Genomic DNA, 17,715 nt, shown 5'->3' with positions numbered 1-17,715 from the left:
GGAAGGAGGATGGCCCCCAGCCTGGTGCAGGTCCTCAGCTCTCCTCACTGCCTTCCAGTGAGACAGAGCTGCGCCTCTCAGTGCTCTAGAGGCAAAGGTAAGAGCCTGTCCCTGCTGCATGGAAGGCTGGTCCATCCATGGGTGACCTGATGGGTGGTCAGTGATGCAGTGTGTGTGGCCTGTGGGCATTAATGGTGGTGAGTGGGGGCGACATGCCCTCAATGGAAGCGGCCACAATTCCTGCTGAATGGCCCCAAACCCTGTCCTGCAGTCGTTTTACCAAAGCCACCACCAAGATTCATGATAGTGGCTCAGGGGTCACTGCCCACTGACCACAAGGACACCACCTGGAGGCTGAGGGTTAGGGGGCCAGTAGCACATCCTGGGCACAGAGAGTAACATGGTCACCACAGGTGAACTGAACTCTGGTGACCTTCCCTGGTTTCAGATACAAGCAAAAGAAAAAAAAATTTCTGCAGAGAAAAAGCCTCTTTTCTTTCCACCAGCACCGACTGTTACACATTGCTCTTTGTGGCAGTGAGTCTTGTGTCTGTTCCAAAGCTGGTTCCTTCTCTTGGTCCTGCCCTTCAGAAAATGAAAAAGAAAAACTTGCAGAGAAAGATGTCCTCGGGGAAAATGAACTAGACTGACCTGGACATGAACCACATTTTGAGAAGCCATTTCATATTCTGGGAGTGCTACAGCATCAAGTAAGGCCTTTGGGGAACAGAGGGTCCTAGAGGAAGTGGGGAATCTAGAAGGATGGAGGCATCTGAGGGGCAATGGGGAGACATCAGGGCAAAGGTAGGGGTCTTAAAGAAGAGAGTGACAGCCCAGGACATTTCCTGGAGTTCTAACTTTGGGAAGGGTCTGCAGTGAGGCCTGAAATAGGGAGTTTTTCAGGAGAGCCCAGGGGGCTCTGAACACCTCTGCTCCTTCCATGAGGACAAGAAGACACTGCACCCAGATTTCTACCTTAAAGCACTGCTCACAGTGCTTGACTGATGGGACAAGGATGCAGAGGGAGATCCCAGGCCAGGGATCCTGCTGCCTGACACTGCCTGGCTTCCCTGGCCCAAGGTTCTGGCTCCCACAGAAAAACTCAGCTCCTTCCAGCAGGAGGCACAGGCAGGTCCCTGCAGAACACACCAACCATGCCCTGCCTGAGAGGTGGTGTCCCATGGCAGAGGCTGAGGCTCAGGGCCAGGATTGTGGGCAGACTGGGCCAAGACTTATCTTGCAAGAGCCCAGGAAAGCCCCAAATTCTTAGGGGACCCCTTCTTCCAGAGGCCATATTCTGCTGAGATGAGTCCAACCCTATGAGGAGCTGAAGGATCTTGTCTAATCCAGCCTCATGTGTGTGGGGGGAGTCTCACTCTATGCAGAGGGGTCCCTGGCACTACAGACTGAGCTCCCAGTAGGACACTGGCTTCCAGCCTTGAAGGGCCAGGTCCTTTCGTGTCTGCTGTCCCCACAGACCCCCTTCGGGCTTATCCTGAGGCTCTGGGACATCTGTCTTCTGGAGGATGAGCATATACTCACAGCCAGGACATACATGGTATTCAAGGTGCACAGAATCTTGCCCCGTGTGCCTGAGGGAGCTGTGGGGAACATGCGGGACAGATCCCGACTGTCCTGAGGGTAGCGCTCACACTGGGGTTCAGCCTTGCAAGAACCAGATGGGCTGGGTGGAAAAGCTGACCAAGTCTGCTTGCCTTTCAGCCAAATCTGTGGCGTTCCCCAGGAAGGCCCCTTGCCTGGAGCAAGTGTCCCTGGTGCCCAGGACTCTGCGGGCATCCATCAGCACAAAGACCCTCTCCAAGGGGGATGGGCTGGCCCTCTCAGGACCACCAGCCGGTGGGTCATCCCCCCCTCACCCAGAACCCAGGGCAGAACCTAGGCACAGAACCCAGGGGAGTAGGCTGCTCTCTGGTGGCCCCAGGGTCTCAGGGTCTGGCCAGTCTGTCCCTGGCTCAGGACACATGCCTGGGAATCAGGGTTACTCCTCTGCTCTTGCATCTCCTGGGTAAACCAATAATGGCCCCCGGCCCACCCCCGCCACCCCGCTCATGCCTCAACTTTCACATCCACGGAAAAGGTGCTGGTGAGGGTGACCTTTCCAGGAAGCCACAGCCCATGCCCACCCCTGCAAAGCTCCGAAGTCGTGCGCCGGCGGGCCAGGCAGCAGATACTCCCAAGAGCGGCTGAACTGCGCTCCGGTTGGAGAGGGCAGAGGGCAGCAGCACAATGGACAGCGTCTGGACCTCAGGCCAGTTCCCACAGCAGCTTAAGAAAGCAGGCGGCTCCCTGGGCTGAAGGAGGCGCGATGCTCTGGAAAGACCCCGGGTGCAGGTGGGAGAGGAAACCGAGCTGAGGAGCAGGAGGTGGGGTGAGGATGAGACCTGCCCGATTTGGGCAAAGGCGAGGTGCACTTCGCAGCCACCCTTCTCACTGCCCAGCCCAGACCTGCCCCTCAAGTCCCTCTGCGGACTCGCTCCCCTCAGCCAGGGTTGGCGCAGAATCAGTGTCCAGCATGGCTTTGGAAGCGGAGCGGTGCACACGGCCCTGCCCCTCCCTCCGGGGCTGCGCACCACCAGGCACATGCTAGGATTCTAGTCCGGTAGCCCCGAGACCAACAGCCAGAAGTGGTTAAGAAACTATTACACCCCGCCGAGCGCGGTGGCTCACGCCTGTAATCCTACCACTTTGAGAGGTCCTTAGGTCAAGAGTTCGAGACTAGCCTGGCCAACATGGTGAAACCCCGTCTGTACTAAAAATAAAAAACTTAGCCGGGCGTGGTGGCGGGCAGTTGTAATCCCAGCTACTCAGGAGGCTGAGGTGAGAGAATCGCTTGAAGCCGGTAGGCAGAGGTTGCAGTGAGCCGAGATCGCGCCATTACACTACAGCCTGGGCGACAAGAGCAAAACTCCATCTCAAAAAAAAAGAAAAAAAGAAAAGAAAAAAAAAAAACAAAAAGCAAAAACACTGCTACTCCCAGTATGCCTGGTGAGGAGCGCACCGCACTGCCCCTCCCTGAAGGTACCAACTCCATCCGCAATCCCCAATCCCAATGCATGCTTGGGATTGTAGTCCGGCAACCTGTGACCAACGGCCGGAAGTGGCTAGGAGACTACTCCTCCCAGCATGCCTGGCGAGGCGCGCACCGCGCTGGCCCTCTCTCCTGGGACACGCACCGCCTCCAATCCTGGTTTATGCTGGGATTGTAGTCAGGCAGCCCTGTGAGCAAGTAAGAGACTACAGCTGCGAGCGAATAAGAGACTACAGCTCTCAGATACAGATACATCGAGCAGAGGTCCCTCCTCCTCCGCGTCCCTCCAGGCGTCCCGTGTCGTTTGGCGGTGGGTGGGGGAGCTTGGCTGTTTCCAAACCTTTCCTGCCTGTCAGGAGACAGCTTGAGCAGGGCCGCTGGTCTCACCTGGTAATTGTGACATCTCGTTCCCCAGCATTCCTGCTTCAGGACTTGTTTTGAAAGCTCGATTTCCCGCAGACCAGCAAGTGGTCGCCTCTATTCAGTCTATTCAGTAGGGTTGCCATAGTAACGCTTGTCCTCCCGGAACTTGGCGCACCCCTACTTTCCCTTCCTGCCTCTCCCCTCGGCCCTGCGCTTTCTTCTCGCCCATCCGTTTCTATGCCCCTTCGGACGTGCTCAGTGCAGCCCTTCCCTATGGCTGGGACTTAAGGCCCACGGGCCTGGCAGTTCTCTGGCGTCTTTCGATCCCGTGTGGGATTCTCTCTCCTGAGTGTCTGAAACGATCAGTTCACTGCCTGACGTGAAAACACCTAGTCCCTGGTAACCTGACACTTCTATTTCAAGGTCACCTAAATTTAGCTCTATCTCTCCAAGCTGTCACAAATCAACCTATGCTCCCCAGGACGCCCCTTGGACCTCGGGTTGGCTGCATGGCCCACACCTGGGTCACGACCCTCACAGGGACGCTCCTGCCGCTGTAATAAAAAGAAGAAAATGTCACAGGGAAAAGGCCTGACCCTGCTGCATCCAGTCAGGAAACAGCCACCAGGAAGGGAGCCCCTAAGTCGCTTTGGGAGCAACATCCACCACTTCTCTGCCCCCACCCAGGCTGGTTCCCAGGCCTTCGGGTCCTAGTGTGGACCTCCCGGCCGTAATTAATGCAGGTGCAGGACCAGAGGGCCCCTTGGTCCCTCCCAACACATGAGGGAAGTTTGTGTGGTGAGGTCATGAAAAATGTTCTGCGTACATGTTAATGTAAAAGACAAAGCAAACCTCAACATTAAGTCATGGGCTAGGATTCTACAAATGAGAAAACTCTTTTATTAATCCTTTTTAAGTATCCCTTTGGACCACTTTTAATAATTTGCTGGTGGAACTTAACCGTGGTAATTCCCTTAATTCATTTTTCCTTTTAGTTTTTCAGATTAACTCTTAAGTACTCCACGGCTACATGCTCCTGAAGCTGTTATAGGCCCAGCCTCAGATCTGTGCAGGGCGGATGCACAAGAGCAGAATCTCCGTGGACATCTTTCTGGAGCATCAATTTTACTGCAAGATTTTGAAGAAACACATTTAATTGATTTTCAAGGTGAGAAATTAAACCTCGAAAACTAGACTGGAAAGTCATCTACGCCTGAACTATCAGACTTTCTTCAGAAGAAAACTCTAAGGAGAACATATTTTCCATTATTATAAATATTACAAATGAGAAATCATAGCAAGTTACCTGAAAATGCTGCCCTGGCAGTTTCCTAAATCACAACATGTCCTGGGTATGGTTTTAGGTGTATTTTCTTTTTGGGGTGTGTTCACCTTTTGGATATAAAAATTGGGGTTTTTGACCACATCTTGTAAGTTTTCTGCTATTAGTAGTTTCTTTACTTTTGTACCATATTTAATTTTTCTGTGTCTTCCTCTTCTTCTCAGACTCAGTCACTCCACAAGTCTCTAAAGGCTCTGTTCATTTTCTTCAAACATGTTTCATGTTGGATGATTTCTATTGCTGTCTTCTGTTTCTACTCTGTGGATAAGCTCAAGGGTGTGTGTGCGTGTGTGTGTGTGCGTGTTTTCCATTTCATTATTTTTCTATTTGGTTCTTCTTATAATTTTCATTTCTCTGCTGAGGTTCCACATCAGTTAATTCATTATGAGAATATTTTCCTTTACTCTCATGAACATACTCATAAGAGCTGATTTTAAATCCTTGTCTGCTGATCTGATTACATCATGTTGCTTTTTATCTTGTGTATACATTACATTTTCATCTTTCTTCACACATTTCATGAATTTTAATGTGTTCTATGAGTTTCTGGTGGTTATAGAGACTCTAAATTCTGCTGTATTCTTTTGAAGAGCATTGTTATTATTTGAAGAAGGGGTTAATTTGGCTGGATTCAAACTGCAATACCTGTCTCTCCTGCAGTGGGCACAGCTGAAATCCTCATTCAGTTCTTATGCACATATATGTATTTTATATAGATGTGTGATTCTATGTAACTGTATATACTATGCAGATTTTGTCACAGTTACATGTGAGAGTGTTAGTTCAACAATACTCCAGTACTACTGGAAGCCAGAACCTTAGTTTTGTTTGCTTACTGGATTTTATATAAATGAAATAATATAGTATGGATACTTTTACACCTACTTTCTTTTACATGTCATTATGTTTGTGATATTCATCTTTGCTGTTGCAGATTGCTATAATTTGTACACTTTAAAAAGCATTGTTTACACTGTGGTAAAATATACATAAAATTAACCACTTTAACCATTTTTAAGTGTGAAGTGTGCAGGAATTAAATACATTCACATTGTTTTGCAACCACCATCCCCATCTATAGGGAACATTTTTTATCTTGCAAAACTGAGTCTCTGTGCTGATTAAGCAACAGCTCCCAGTTACCCTCCCTCTAGCCCATAGGAACCACTCTTCTACTTTGTGTTTCTATGAATTTAATTACCCTAAATACCTCACGTGAGTGGAATCATACAGTGTTTGTCATTTTGTGACTGGTTTATTGTACTTAGCACAATGTCCTTAAGGTTTATCTATGTTGTAGCATGTATCAGAATTTTCTTACTTTTGCTAAGTGAATAATATTCCACTGCATGTAAAAACACATTTTGTTTACCTACGTATTTATTGATGTTGATGATTCAAGGAAAGCTTTGATTGTTTCACCTTTTAGCTATTGTGAATAATGCTGCTAGGAACCTAGGTGTATGTATATCTCTTTGTGTGCCTGCTTTCATATCTTTTTGAGTATATCCCAGAAGCAAGATTGCTGGATTATAAGGTAATTATAAGTGTAATTGTATTTGTTTGTTTGTTTGTTTTTCTGAGATGGAGTCTTGCTCTGTTGCTCAGGCTGGAGTGCAGTGGTGTGATCTCAGCTCACTGCAACCTCCGCCTCCTGTGTTCAAGTGATTCTTCTGCCTCAGCCTCCTGAGTAGCTGGGATTACAGGCGTGCACCACCATGCCTGGCTAATTTTTTTGTATTTTTATTAGAGACGGGGTTTCACCATGTTGGCCAGGCTGGTCTCAAACTCCTGAACTCGTGATCCACCCACCTCGGTCTCCCAAAGTGCTGGGATTACAGATGTAAGCCACTGCGCTTGGTGATTCTCATGGCAGGTGCGACATTGTACTTGCCCACCAATAGCTTACTAGGTTTCTAATCACTCCACATCCTCATCAACACTGTTATTTTCTGTTTTTTGATAGTGGCTATCCTAATGGATGTGAAGAGATAGCTCATTGTAGGCTTGATTTGCATTTTGCTAATAATTAGTTCTCTCGAGTATATTTTCATATGCTTTTTGGCCATTTTACACCATCTTTAAGAAATGTCTGTTCAAGTCCTTTGCCCATTTTTGAATGAGGTAGTTTTTTTTTGTTGTTGTTTAGTTATAGCAGTTCTTTATATATTCCAGGTATTAATCTCTTATCAGATGTATGATGTGCAAATATTTTCCCATGCTGTGCATTGCTTTGCAATATTGTTGATAATATCCTTTAATGTGTAAAAGTTTTATTTTATTTTCATAAAGTCCAATTTGTCTTTATTTTTCTCTTGTTGCTTGTGCTTTGGGTGTCCTATCCTAGAAATCATTGCCAAACACAATGTCAAGATGTTTTCTACCTGTATTTTCTTCAAAAATTTTGTAGTTTAAGCTCTTACATTTAGGTCTTTGATCCATTTTTATTTGTTTATGGTGTAGGGTAAAGAACCAAATGCATAATTTTGCATGTATGGATATCCAACTTCCCCAGCACCAATTGTTGTAAAGACAGTCCTTTCCCATTCAATGATCTTTACATCCCCATCAAATATCATTTGACCATATAAATGAGGGGTTATTTATAAGCTGTTTGCTATTCTGTTTGTCCATATGTGTGTCTCTATGCCAGTACCACACTATTTTGGAACTCTGTAGTAGGTTTTGAAATGAGTAAGTATGAATTTTTTAACAGCGCTCTTCTTTTTCAAGATTGTTTTGACTATTCAGGGTCCCTTGAGATTCCATATGAAATTTAGGCAGGATTTCTCTATTACTGCAAAAGAGTCTTTGGGATTTTTACCTTCTTGGTTACTTCTAAGGATTTTATTCTTTTGGATGCTATTGTAAGTGGGATTGTTTGCTTAGTTTCTTTTTCAGATTATTCATTATTACTGTGTAGAAACACAAGCGATTTTTGTATGTCGATTTTGTATGCTGCTACTCTGCTGAATTTATTAGTTGTAATATGTTTTGTGTGAATGCGTTAAATCTCTAGAGTTTTCCGCATAAAATTATATTATCAGTAAGCAGGGTTAATTTTACCTCTACCATTCCAATTTGGATGCGGTTTATTTCTTTTTAATTCTTAATTGCTCTAACTAGAACTTTTAATACTATGGAGAATAGAAATGGCAAAAGAAGGCACATTTGCCTTGTTCCTGAGCTTAGAGGAAAAGCTTTCTGTCTTTTTTTATTAATCTCAATCTCTATAACATTTATTTATTACATTTTCTTGTTTAATTGCATTAGGTCTTTTACCCTGAAGGACATTGTTTGCTGTTGGTTTTTAATATGTGGATTTCACGATGATAGTGTTTTTTTTTATCCTAATTTGTTGAGTGTTTTCACCATGAAAAAATTTTGAATTTTACAAAATCCTTTTTTTCTGTATCCAGAAGGTGATCATTTTTTCCTTTCTTTTTTTAATGTGTATGTGTTGACCAATTTTTGTATGTTAAAAACATTCATATGCCAAAACAGGCTTGCATTCCAAGAATAAACCCCACTTGGTCCTAGTGTATAATCTTTCTAATATGCTGCTGAATTTTGTTTGCTATAATTTTGCTGAGGAATTTTGCATCAGCGTTTCTTTAGGAACAAATAATCTGTAGTTTTCTGTAGTATCTTTGTCTGGCTTTGGTATAGGGTAGTGCTGGCATCATGGAATGGGATTAAAACTGATCTCTCTCTCTTTTTTTTTAATTTTTTTATTTGACAGAGTCTCGGTCTGTTACCCAGGCTGGAGTGCAGTGTCGTGATCTTGGCTCACTGCAACCTCCACCTCCCGGGTTCAAGCAATTCTCCTGCTTCAACCTCCCAAGTAGCTGAGATTACAGGTGCCTGCCACCACGCCTGGCTAATTTTTGTATTTTTAGTAGAGATGGGGTTTCACCATGTTGGCCAGGCTTGTCTTGAACTCCTGACCTCAGGTGATCCACCTGCCTCAGCCTCTCAAAGTGCAGAGATTACAGACATGAGCCACTGCTTTTCTTTTTCTTTTTCTTTTCTGTTGACTTCTACCACTTTGCTATTTGTGTTTGGTATACCTTACAGCTTTTTACTTGATATTTTCTACATTACTTTCTTCTTTTGTGTTTGTTTGGTTTCTTTTAGTGAAACATTTTAACCTTTATTTTTCTTTGTGTATATTCTGTAGCTTTTCTTTGTGATTACCGTAATGGAGATGACATTTAACATCTGAATTTATTTATTTTAATTGCTACATGATACTATATTCAATTATGTAAACATAGTATAATTTTTAATTCTGTTCTACATTTGATAGTCCTCATTGGGATACTTAATATATTTTGTTTTTTAGATAAGTATTAAAATTACATAAACATTGAGTGGAAAGTACAGAGTTTCCATGTATTCTCTCCCCCACCCAGCTTCTCCTCTATTATTAACATCTCGCATCAGTGTTGTGCATTTGTTTACTGTTAATGAACTAATATAGAGAAGTTATTATTGGGTGGGAAGTGGGTGAGGAATAAAAGACTATAAAGTGGATGCAGTGTATACAGCTTGGGTGATGGGTGCACCAAAATCTCACAAGTCACCACTAAAAACGTACATCTCCAAACACCACCTGTTTTCCAATCACCTATGGAAATAAATTTTAAAGAAGAAAAGTACTATTAACTAAAATTCATAGTTTGCATTAGGATTCATGTCTTCTGTTTTACATTCTGTGGATTTTGACAAAAGCATAATGACATAACACGTATTCACCATCACTGCATTATAAAGAATAGTTTTATTGTCTTAAAATATTCGCTGTCCTCCACCTATTCGCCACTCCCTTCTTCCTCTCAAACTTCTGGTAACCACAGATCTGTTTTCTCTCTGCATGGTTTTGCCTTGCACAGAATGTCAAATGGTTGGAATCATATAGTATGTAGCCTTTTCAGACTGGCTTCTTTTACTTAGCCATGTGCATTTAAGGTTCTTCATGTCTTTTCAAGGCTGGACGCTCATTTCTTTATCAGTGAATGATGTTCTGTTGTATGGTTGCGCCAGAGTTAGTTTATTCATTCACCTATTGAAAGGGATCTTAGTCTGTTGCATGTTTTGGCAATTACATATGAAGCTGCTCTATATTCATTTATGGATTTTTGTGTAGATGCAAATTTTCACCTCTTTTGAATGAAGGCCAGTAAGTATGATTGCTGGATTGTATGTAAGTGTATATTTAGCTCTGTAAGAAACTGGCAAACTGTCTTCCAAACTGGTCACAGCACTTTGCATATTCACCAGCAATAAATGAGAGCTCTTGTTACTCTACATCATCACCAGCATTTAGTGTAGTGAGTGTTTGGGATTTTAGCTATACCAATATGTGTGTGACAGTATGTCATTGCTATTTTAAATTTTAATGCCCTAATGGTATATGGTGCTGAGCATCTTTTTGCATGCTTATTTGCCATGCTTATATGTTCTTTAGAAAGGTATATTTTTGGACCTTTTGCTATTTTATATTGGGTTGTTAATTTCTTATTCTTGAGTTTTAAGAGCATTTTTTTTCTTTTTGCATATTTTGGATACCAGTCTTTTATTAGTTATGTGTTTTGCAAATCGTTTCTCCCATTCTGTGACTTGTCTTTTTATTCTTTTAACAGTGTCTTTTGTAGTGAAGAAATGTTATTTTTAATATAGTCCAACTTAGCAGTTTTTTTCTTTCATCAATTATGTTTTTGGTGTTGTATTAAAGGAGGCAAACCCAAGGTAATTGAGATTCTGCTCTATGTTATCTTCCAGGAGTGTTGTAGTTCTTCATTTTATATAGGTCTGTGATCCATTTTGAGTAATCTTTGTAAAAGTTGTAAAGTCTGGGTTTGGGGATTTTTTTCCCCATTTTTTCCATCATGTATGTGGATGTCCAGTTTTTCCAGGACTGCTTGTTGAAAAATCATTTTTTCTCAATCAAATTCCCTTTGCTCTTTCCTCAAAGATAAGCTGACTATATTAGTGTGGGTCAATTTCTGAGCTTTCTCTTTTTTTTCCATTGATCTGTTTCTCTACTCTTTGACCATTATCACATTGCTTTCATTACTGTAGCTTTACAGTAGTTCTTAAAGTTGGATAGTGTCATTCCTTTAACTGTTCTTTTAAATATTTTCTTGACTATTCTTGGTCCTTTGCCTTTCCATTTAAACTGTATAGTCAGTGTGTCAATATACACAAACTAACTTTGTGTAATTTTGATTGGGATTGCATTGAATATGCTGATGAAGTTGGGAAATACTGATATTTTAACAAGGTTTAATCTTTCTGTTCTTGATTGTGGATTATCACTCTAGTTATTTAGATCTTTGACATTTTAAAACACAGTTTTCTTCATATAGATCTTACATTAATTTTGTTAGATTTGTAACTAAGTGTTTTATTGTTATTGGTGCTAGTGTAAACGCCATTGTGTTAATTAAAAATTCTAATTATATTACTAATATGTAGAAAAGCAACTGATGGTTTTATATTAATCTTGCATTCTGCAAAGTTGCTATAATTGCTGATTATAGTTGGTTATTCTAAGAGTTTTGTTTTGTGATCCTTTGGGATTTCTGCATAGGCAATTATATCATCTGTGAAAAAAGGCAGTTTTATTTTTTCTTTTCCAATCTATGTACCTTTTCTTTTCTTGTCTTATTGCATTAACTAGGCCTTATAGTATGATGTTATATAAAAATGGTGACAGGAAACATATTTGCCTTGCTCCTGATCTTAGCAGGAAGGCAGCTAATGTTTCAACATTTAGTATGAGCATAGATGCAGGGTTTTTGTAGATATTCTTTGTTAAATAAAAGAAGCTTCCCTCTATTTCTAGTTTTCAGAGAGTTTTTCTGATGAATAGGTTTTGATTTTGTCAAATGATTTTTCTGCATGTACAAATAAGGTCATATAATTTTTCTTTAACATATTAATATGATGAACTAATTAATTTCTTTTCTTTTGTAAATATAAACAGAATCTTGCTACGTTGCCCAGGCTTGTCTTGAACTTCTTTCCTCAAGTGATTTTCCTGCCTTGGCCTTCTAATAGACTGGGGTTGCAAGTATGAGCCACCACACCCAGCCTAATTTATTTTCAAATGTTGTACCCACCTTGTTTGCCTGTAATGAATCTCACTGGGTTGTGTTATATAATTCTTTTTATACATTTTTAGGTTTGGTTTCCTATTTTATTGAGGGTTTTCACATCTTTGTTCATGTGAAATATTGTTCTGTTTTCTTCTTCTTCTTGTAATACCTTTGTCTAGATTTGGTATTATGGTACTGACAGCCTCAGAGAATGAGTTTGAAAGTATTAACTCTGCATCTGTTTTCTGAAGAGACTGTAGATAATTGGGACAATTTCTTCCTTAAATGTTTGGTATACTTTACTAGTGGTTCATAGTATTTCCTTATTTTTATTTAATCGTTCCTAGGATCAGTAATGATAACTCCTCTTTCACTTCTGGCATTAACATTGTGTCTTCTCTCTTCTTCAACCAAAATTAATAAGAAACATTTTTAAAAGTAAAGGCCAGTTTTGATAAATTATCTAATTTCTCATTATATGCAATTGTAGGTACATAGGAAGTACATGGAATCAGATGTTTGCCATAGCTTGCTAACGAATTCTCTCCTGCATCAAGATGGCATGCCTCTCAACAGGACACTCTTAGGAGGCTGGAATGTGTTAAAATTAGTATGTGATCTGTTTTTGGTGAAGAGCCATCTGACTCTCAACTGTACATGGTAGCCTTAATGCACATCTTGGTAGAAAAGGGCTGCATCTCAGAGGCTGCCAGCCAAGCCATACAGGCCAAGGGAAGTCTGAGTCCATTATTCATTTTATCAATCTGTTGTAGTGAACAGCTAGATTATTATGAACATTGTACACATTTTACCATATTCCTTTGCTCTTCCTAGGGCATTTGTTCCAGGATTCTTCTTGGATACCAAAATGCATGGATGCATAAGCTCCTTTTATAAAGTGGCATAGTATTTACATATAACCAATGCATATACTCCTGCATACTTTAAATAATCTCTAGATTACTTGTAATACCTAAATTGTTATGCTTTATTGTTTAAGAAATAACATAAAGAAAAAAGTCTGTACATGTTTAGTAGAGATGCTTTATAAGAAATATTTTTGATTTACATCTTTTGAATCCAGGATTGCAGAAACCGTGAATGAGGAGGGCTGACTCTATCTATGTTTGGAGTCTGTGAATATGAACTCTTCCTATGTTGGTAAATGGAAATTTCTTTCACCAAATGGCTGAACTGCTTTTTCACTGGCATGTTCAAAAAACTTACAAGAAGAAGGACAAGAACTGAGAAAGAGAAAGGATAAGAACTGAACATTGGTGGGAGGCTGAGACAGGTGAATCACTTGAGGTCAGGAGAGCGAGACCAGCCTGGCCAACGTGGTGAAACCCCGTCTCTACTAAAAGTACAAAAATTAGCTGGGCATGGCAGTGGGCACCTGTAATCCCAGCTACTGGGGAGGCTTAGGCAGGAGAATCACTTGAATTCGGAAGGTGGACGTTGCAGTGAGCCGAGGTGGCACCACTGCACTCTAGCTCGGGCGACAGAGGGAGACTCCATCCAAAAAACAAAACAAAAAAAACGAAACAAAAAACATTGGCAAGTGGCACATTTTCACAAACTAGAAGAGTGGACTTGTAACAAGCACTCTGATAGAAAGTCATGGTTCTTTCCTGCAACTGTCTTTTAAAAATACTGTGATTTTCAGAAAAGAAAAAAAAAAGATATAATAGGTTATAAATTCATTAGAGAAGAGAGAAAATAAATAATCCCCAGAAGTAAATTGTCAGCCAGTTTCAAGGTAAAATGTAGACACATTATCCTTGATCTTTCTGAATAATTTTACAGCTTAGGGTATAGGAGCTTCTATCACTGCAGAACCAGGGTCACCTGTGGAAAGTCCCTGGTGAAGTCCGCTCCCTTCCAGCCTGTTCCTCAGGCCCAGCAGTAATGAGTTGTTCTTCCTCCAAGTCATTCCGTTCATTGGCAGCAAACCCTGATATTTTGGATAGTAGTTGCTTTTGATCTTAGATTTTAACAGAAAGTTTGATGAAAAGTCTTCAAGACTTACAAGCATGACCCTCACTTCAGTCAGTCAGTCTGCCCCAGAGGTCCTTGATTCAACATATAGAGATGGGCATTTTGAGCATGTCCTTAAGGCTGAGGTGCAGCCCTATGGCACAGACTCATTCTGAAAGAAGCCCAAGTCCCACCCTGAGCTCTCTGTCTCCCATGTGTGGGCTTATCAGGGAAGACAGAAGCCCAGAGACCCCTGCACTTGGGGATCGGCCATAGGAGCTGCTTCCTGGGTGGGGAGATGGGAGCTAGCAGCTCAGAATGGGGCCATAAGGTAAGTTCCAAACAGCTGTGTCACAGAGTATGTCAGCAGAACTTTGTGACATCAGTTGCAAAGAGAGGGAGCATGTGAAGGACAAAGCCCTGAGTGATGACATAGCCCATTCCGGGGAAGGGAAGAAATTAGCATCCTAAGGTTATAATATAGATAACCAATGTGCAACAACTACAATAACAAAAATTTAACTGCCAAAGAAAATTAGGAATATAGAGCATCTCAGAAAAAACTCGGTTTATGTTAGCTACTTCTACAAAACCATATATATAATAATTTTTTGTTTTGTTTTGTTTTTTGAGATGGAGTCTTGCTCTGTCGCTCAGGCTGGAGTGCAGTGGTGCGATCTCAGCTCACTGCAACCTCCGCCTCCCGGGTTCAAGCAATTCTCTGCCATAGCCTCCCGAGTAGCTGGGATTACAGGCACCCACCACCACACCTGGCTAATTTTTGTATTTTCAGTAGAGATGGGGTTTCACCATCTTGGCCAGGTTGGTCTTGAACTCCTGACTTCATGATCCACCTGCCTCAGCCTCCCAAACTGCTGGGATTACAGGCATGAGCCACCACACCCGACCAGAACCATATTTTTTAAAGTAAATATTAACATCAATTTTGGAAACATAACAATTGTAATGAAACTTGGAAAATCTTTTTTTTTTTTTTTTTTTGAGACGGAGTCTCGCTCTGTCGCCCAGGCCGGACTGCGGACTGCAGTGGCGCAATCTCGGCTCACTGCAAGCTCCGCTTCCCGGGTTCACGCCATTCTCCTGCCTCAGCCTCCCGAGTAGCTGGGACTACAGGCGCCCGCCACCGCGCCCGGCTAATTTTTTGTATTTTTAGTAGAGACGGGGTTTCACCTTGTTAGCCAGGATGGTCTCGATCTCCTGACCTCATGATCCACCCGCCTCGGCCTCCCAAAGTGCTGGGATTACAGGCGTGAGCCACCGCGCCCGGCCGGAAAATCTTTAACCAAGGTCAAATTCTAGTAAACATTAAAGTACTAACTTTCCAGGGAATCATTACCAATGTGAGAGATGTGGGAAAGTCTTTTGCCAATGTGGAAACTTTATTATCCATCAGAGTATACATATTCAACAGGGGCCTTACAAATGCAATTAATGTGGTGAAACTTTGAGCCAGTCCTCAAAACTTACTCAACAGCAGAGAAGTCATGTTGGAAAAAATCGCATACAGATGCAAAATATGTGGGAAAATATTCAGTCAGTCATCAAATATAAATAGACATAAGATAATTCTTATTGGAGAGGAACGATTGAAACATAAAACATATGCCAAAGCCTTTCACTGTTACTCAAACTTTACATAACACCAGAGAATCCATACATGAAGAGAAATTCTACAAATGTAATAAGTGTGACAAAGCATTTAACTGATGCTTGTGTCTTACTCAACATCAGAAAATTAATACTGGAGAGAAACCCTAAAAATGTAAAGAATGTGGCAAATTTTTAATGTGGGCTCAAACCTTACCACACACACACACAAGATTTATGCTAGAGAGACATGCTGCAAGTGTAAAAAATGAGGCAGAACCTTTAACTGGTGTTCACAACTTACCCAACATCAGAGAATTAATACTGGATAGAAACCTTATACATGTAAGGAATTTGGAAAGAACTTTGTCCATATACCTTAGAGAACACTACAGTATTTGCACTGGAGAAACACTTTACAAATGTTGGTAAAATGAATAGTTGGTAGTAAAACCATTAATGTTTTCTCACATCTTAGCAGAGAATTTGTATAGGAGAGAACCCCTACAAATGTAATAAACATGAAAAAATTTTGTCTAAAATGTACATCTAGGAAACATCAGAGAGTTCATACAGAAAAAAAATCTACAGATGCAATAAATGTGGAAAAGTATTCAGTCAAAAATCAAGTCTAAATTAAAATAAGAGGAATCACCCAGCCGGTTGCAGTGGCTCATGCCTGTATTCCCAGCACTTTGGGAGGCCAAGGCAGGCGGATCACCAGGTCAGGAGATTGAGACCATCCTGGCTAACACGGTGAAACCCCGTCTCTGCTAAAAAAAATAATATTAAAAAATTAGCCAGGTGTGGTGGCAGGTGCCTGTAGTCCCAGCTACTCGGAAGGCTGAGGCAGGAGAATGGCATGAACCCGGGAGGCGGAGCTTGCAGTGAGCCGAGATCGCACCACTGCACTGCAGCCTGGGCGACAGAGTGAGACTCCGTCTCAAAAAAAAAAAAAAAAAAAAAAGGAATCACCCTAGGAAGAACAACGGTATTAACACTTTCACAATTTCCTTGAGCCTTGTGTTTTGGAGTGGCCAGTATGTCAATAGCACAAGAATCATAAAACGGAATTGTAGAATCAGGATCTCCTCTACCCTTCCCTGGGGGCCTCTGACATATGACAGGTAACTGGGCTAAAGAATAGAAGCTAACTGGTGTGGTGGCTCACACCTGTAGTCCCAGCTACTTGGGAGGCTGAGGCAGGAGACTCACTTGAGGCCAGGAGTTTAAGACCATAAGACCTCATCTCTTAAAAAAGTTTTTTTAATTAGCCAGGTGTGGTGGTGCACACCTGTAGTCCCAACTACTTGGGAGGCAGAATCAAAAGAACAGTTTGAGGCCAGGAGTTTGAGACCAACCTGGGCAATATAGTAAGACTCCATCCCTAAAAATTTTTTTAATTAGCCAGGTGTGGTGGTACACACCTAGAGTCCCAGCTACTCAGGAGGCTGAGGCAGGAGAACCACTTGAGGTCAGTAGTTCGAGACCAGCCTGGGCAATAGTGAGACCCCACCTCTAAACATTTTTTTTAATTACCCAGGGGTGGTGGTGTTCACATCTGTAGTCCTAGCTACCTAGGAGGCTAAGAAGGGGAGGATCACTTGAGTCTAGGAGGTCAGGGCTGCACTGGGCTATGATTGCACCACTAAACTCCAGACAGAGTTACAGAAGGAAACCCTGTCTCTAAAAGAAATATTTTTTTGAAAAAAGATAAACATAGAATAGGAGTCAGTAAGGGAACCTGAGGACCAATGATAGATGATACCAGGGGCTTCAAGAGCTGTGATCATAGGAACAATCAGCATCTGTCACATTCCACGTACACACTGGGACACATCACATTTAAAAAAAAATTTTGCCGGACGCAGTTGCTCATACCTGCAATCCCAGCACTTTGGGAGGCTGAGGCACGTGGATCACCTGAGGTCAGGAGTTCAAAACCAGCCTGGCCGACATGGTGAAACCTTGTCTCTACTAAAAATACAAAAATTAGCTGGACATGGTGGCATGTGCCTGTAGTCCCAACTACATGGGAAGCTGAAACAGGAAAATTGCTTGAACTCAGGAGGTGAAGTTTGCAGTGAGCTTAGATTGTGCCACTGCACTCCAGCCTGGGCAACAGAGCGAGGCTCCATCTGAAAAAACAATTTTTTTTTAATCAAAATATTTTGTTTTGGTTTGGTTTGGTTTGGTTTTGAGACAGGGTCTCATTCTGTCACCCAGGCTGGAGTACAGTGGTGCAATCATAGTTCACTGCCATCTCCAACCCC

At 42.2% G+C, this 17,715-nt stretch overlaps 1 long non-coding RNA gene and 1 pseudogene across 1 annotated transcript; both read left to right on the top strand.

Annotated features, from left to right (window-relative positions):
* Window positions 1-3,165: 3,165 nt before the first annotated feature.
* LOC101928401 (uncharacterized) lies at window positions 3,166-7,066 on the top strand. Its single transcript, NR_108099.1, has 2 exons — window positions 3,166-3,247; window positions 4,408-7,066. It is a non-coding gene; the product is annotated as an uncharacterized LOC101928401 (long non-coding RNA).
* Window positions 15,183-15,868, top strand: LOC100419642 (zinc finger protein 85 pseudogene; annotated as a pseudogene).

The sequence above is a fragment of the Homo sapiens genome, chromosome 7 (genome assembly GCF_000001405.40).
Source record: "Homo sapiens chromosome 7, GRCh38.p14 Primary Assembly".
Classification (NCBI taxonomy): Eukaryota; Metazoa; Chordata; class Mammalia; order Primates; family Hominidae; genus Homo; species Homo sapiens.
This window is presented reverse-complemented; position numbering and strand designations above follow the sequence as displayed.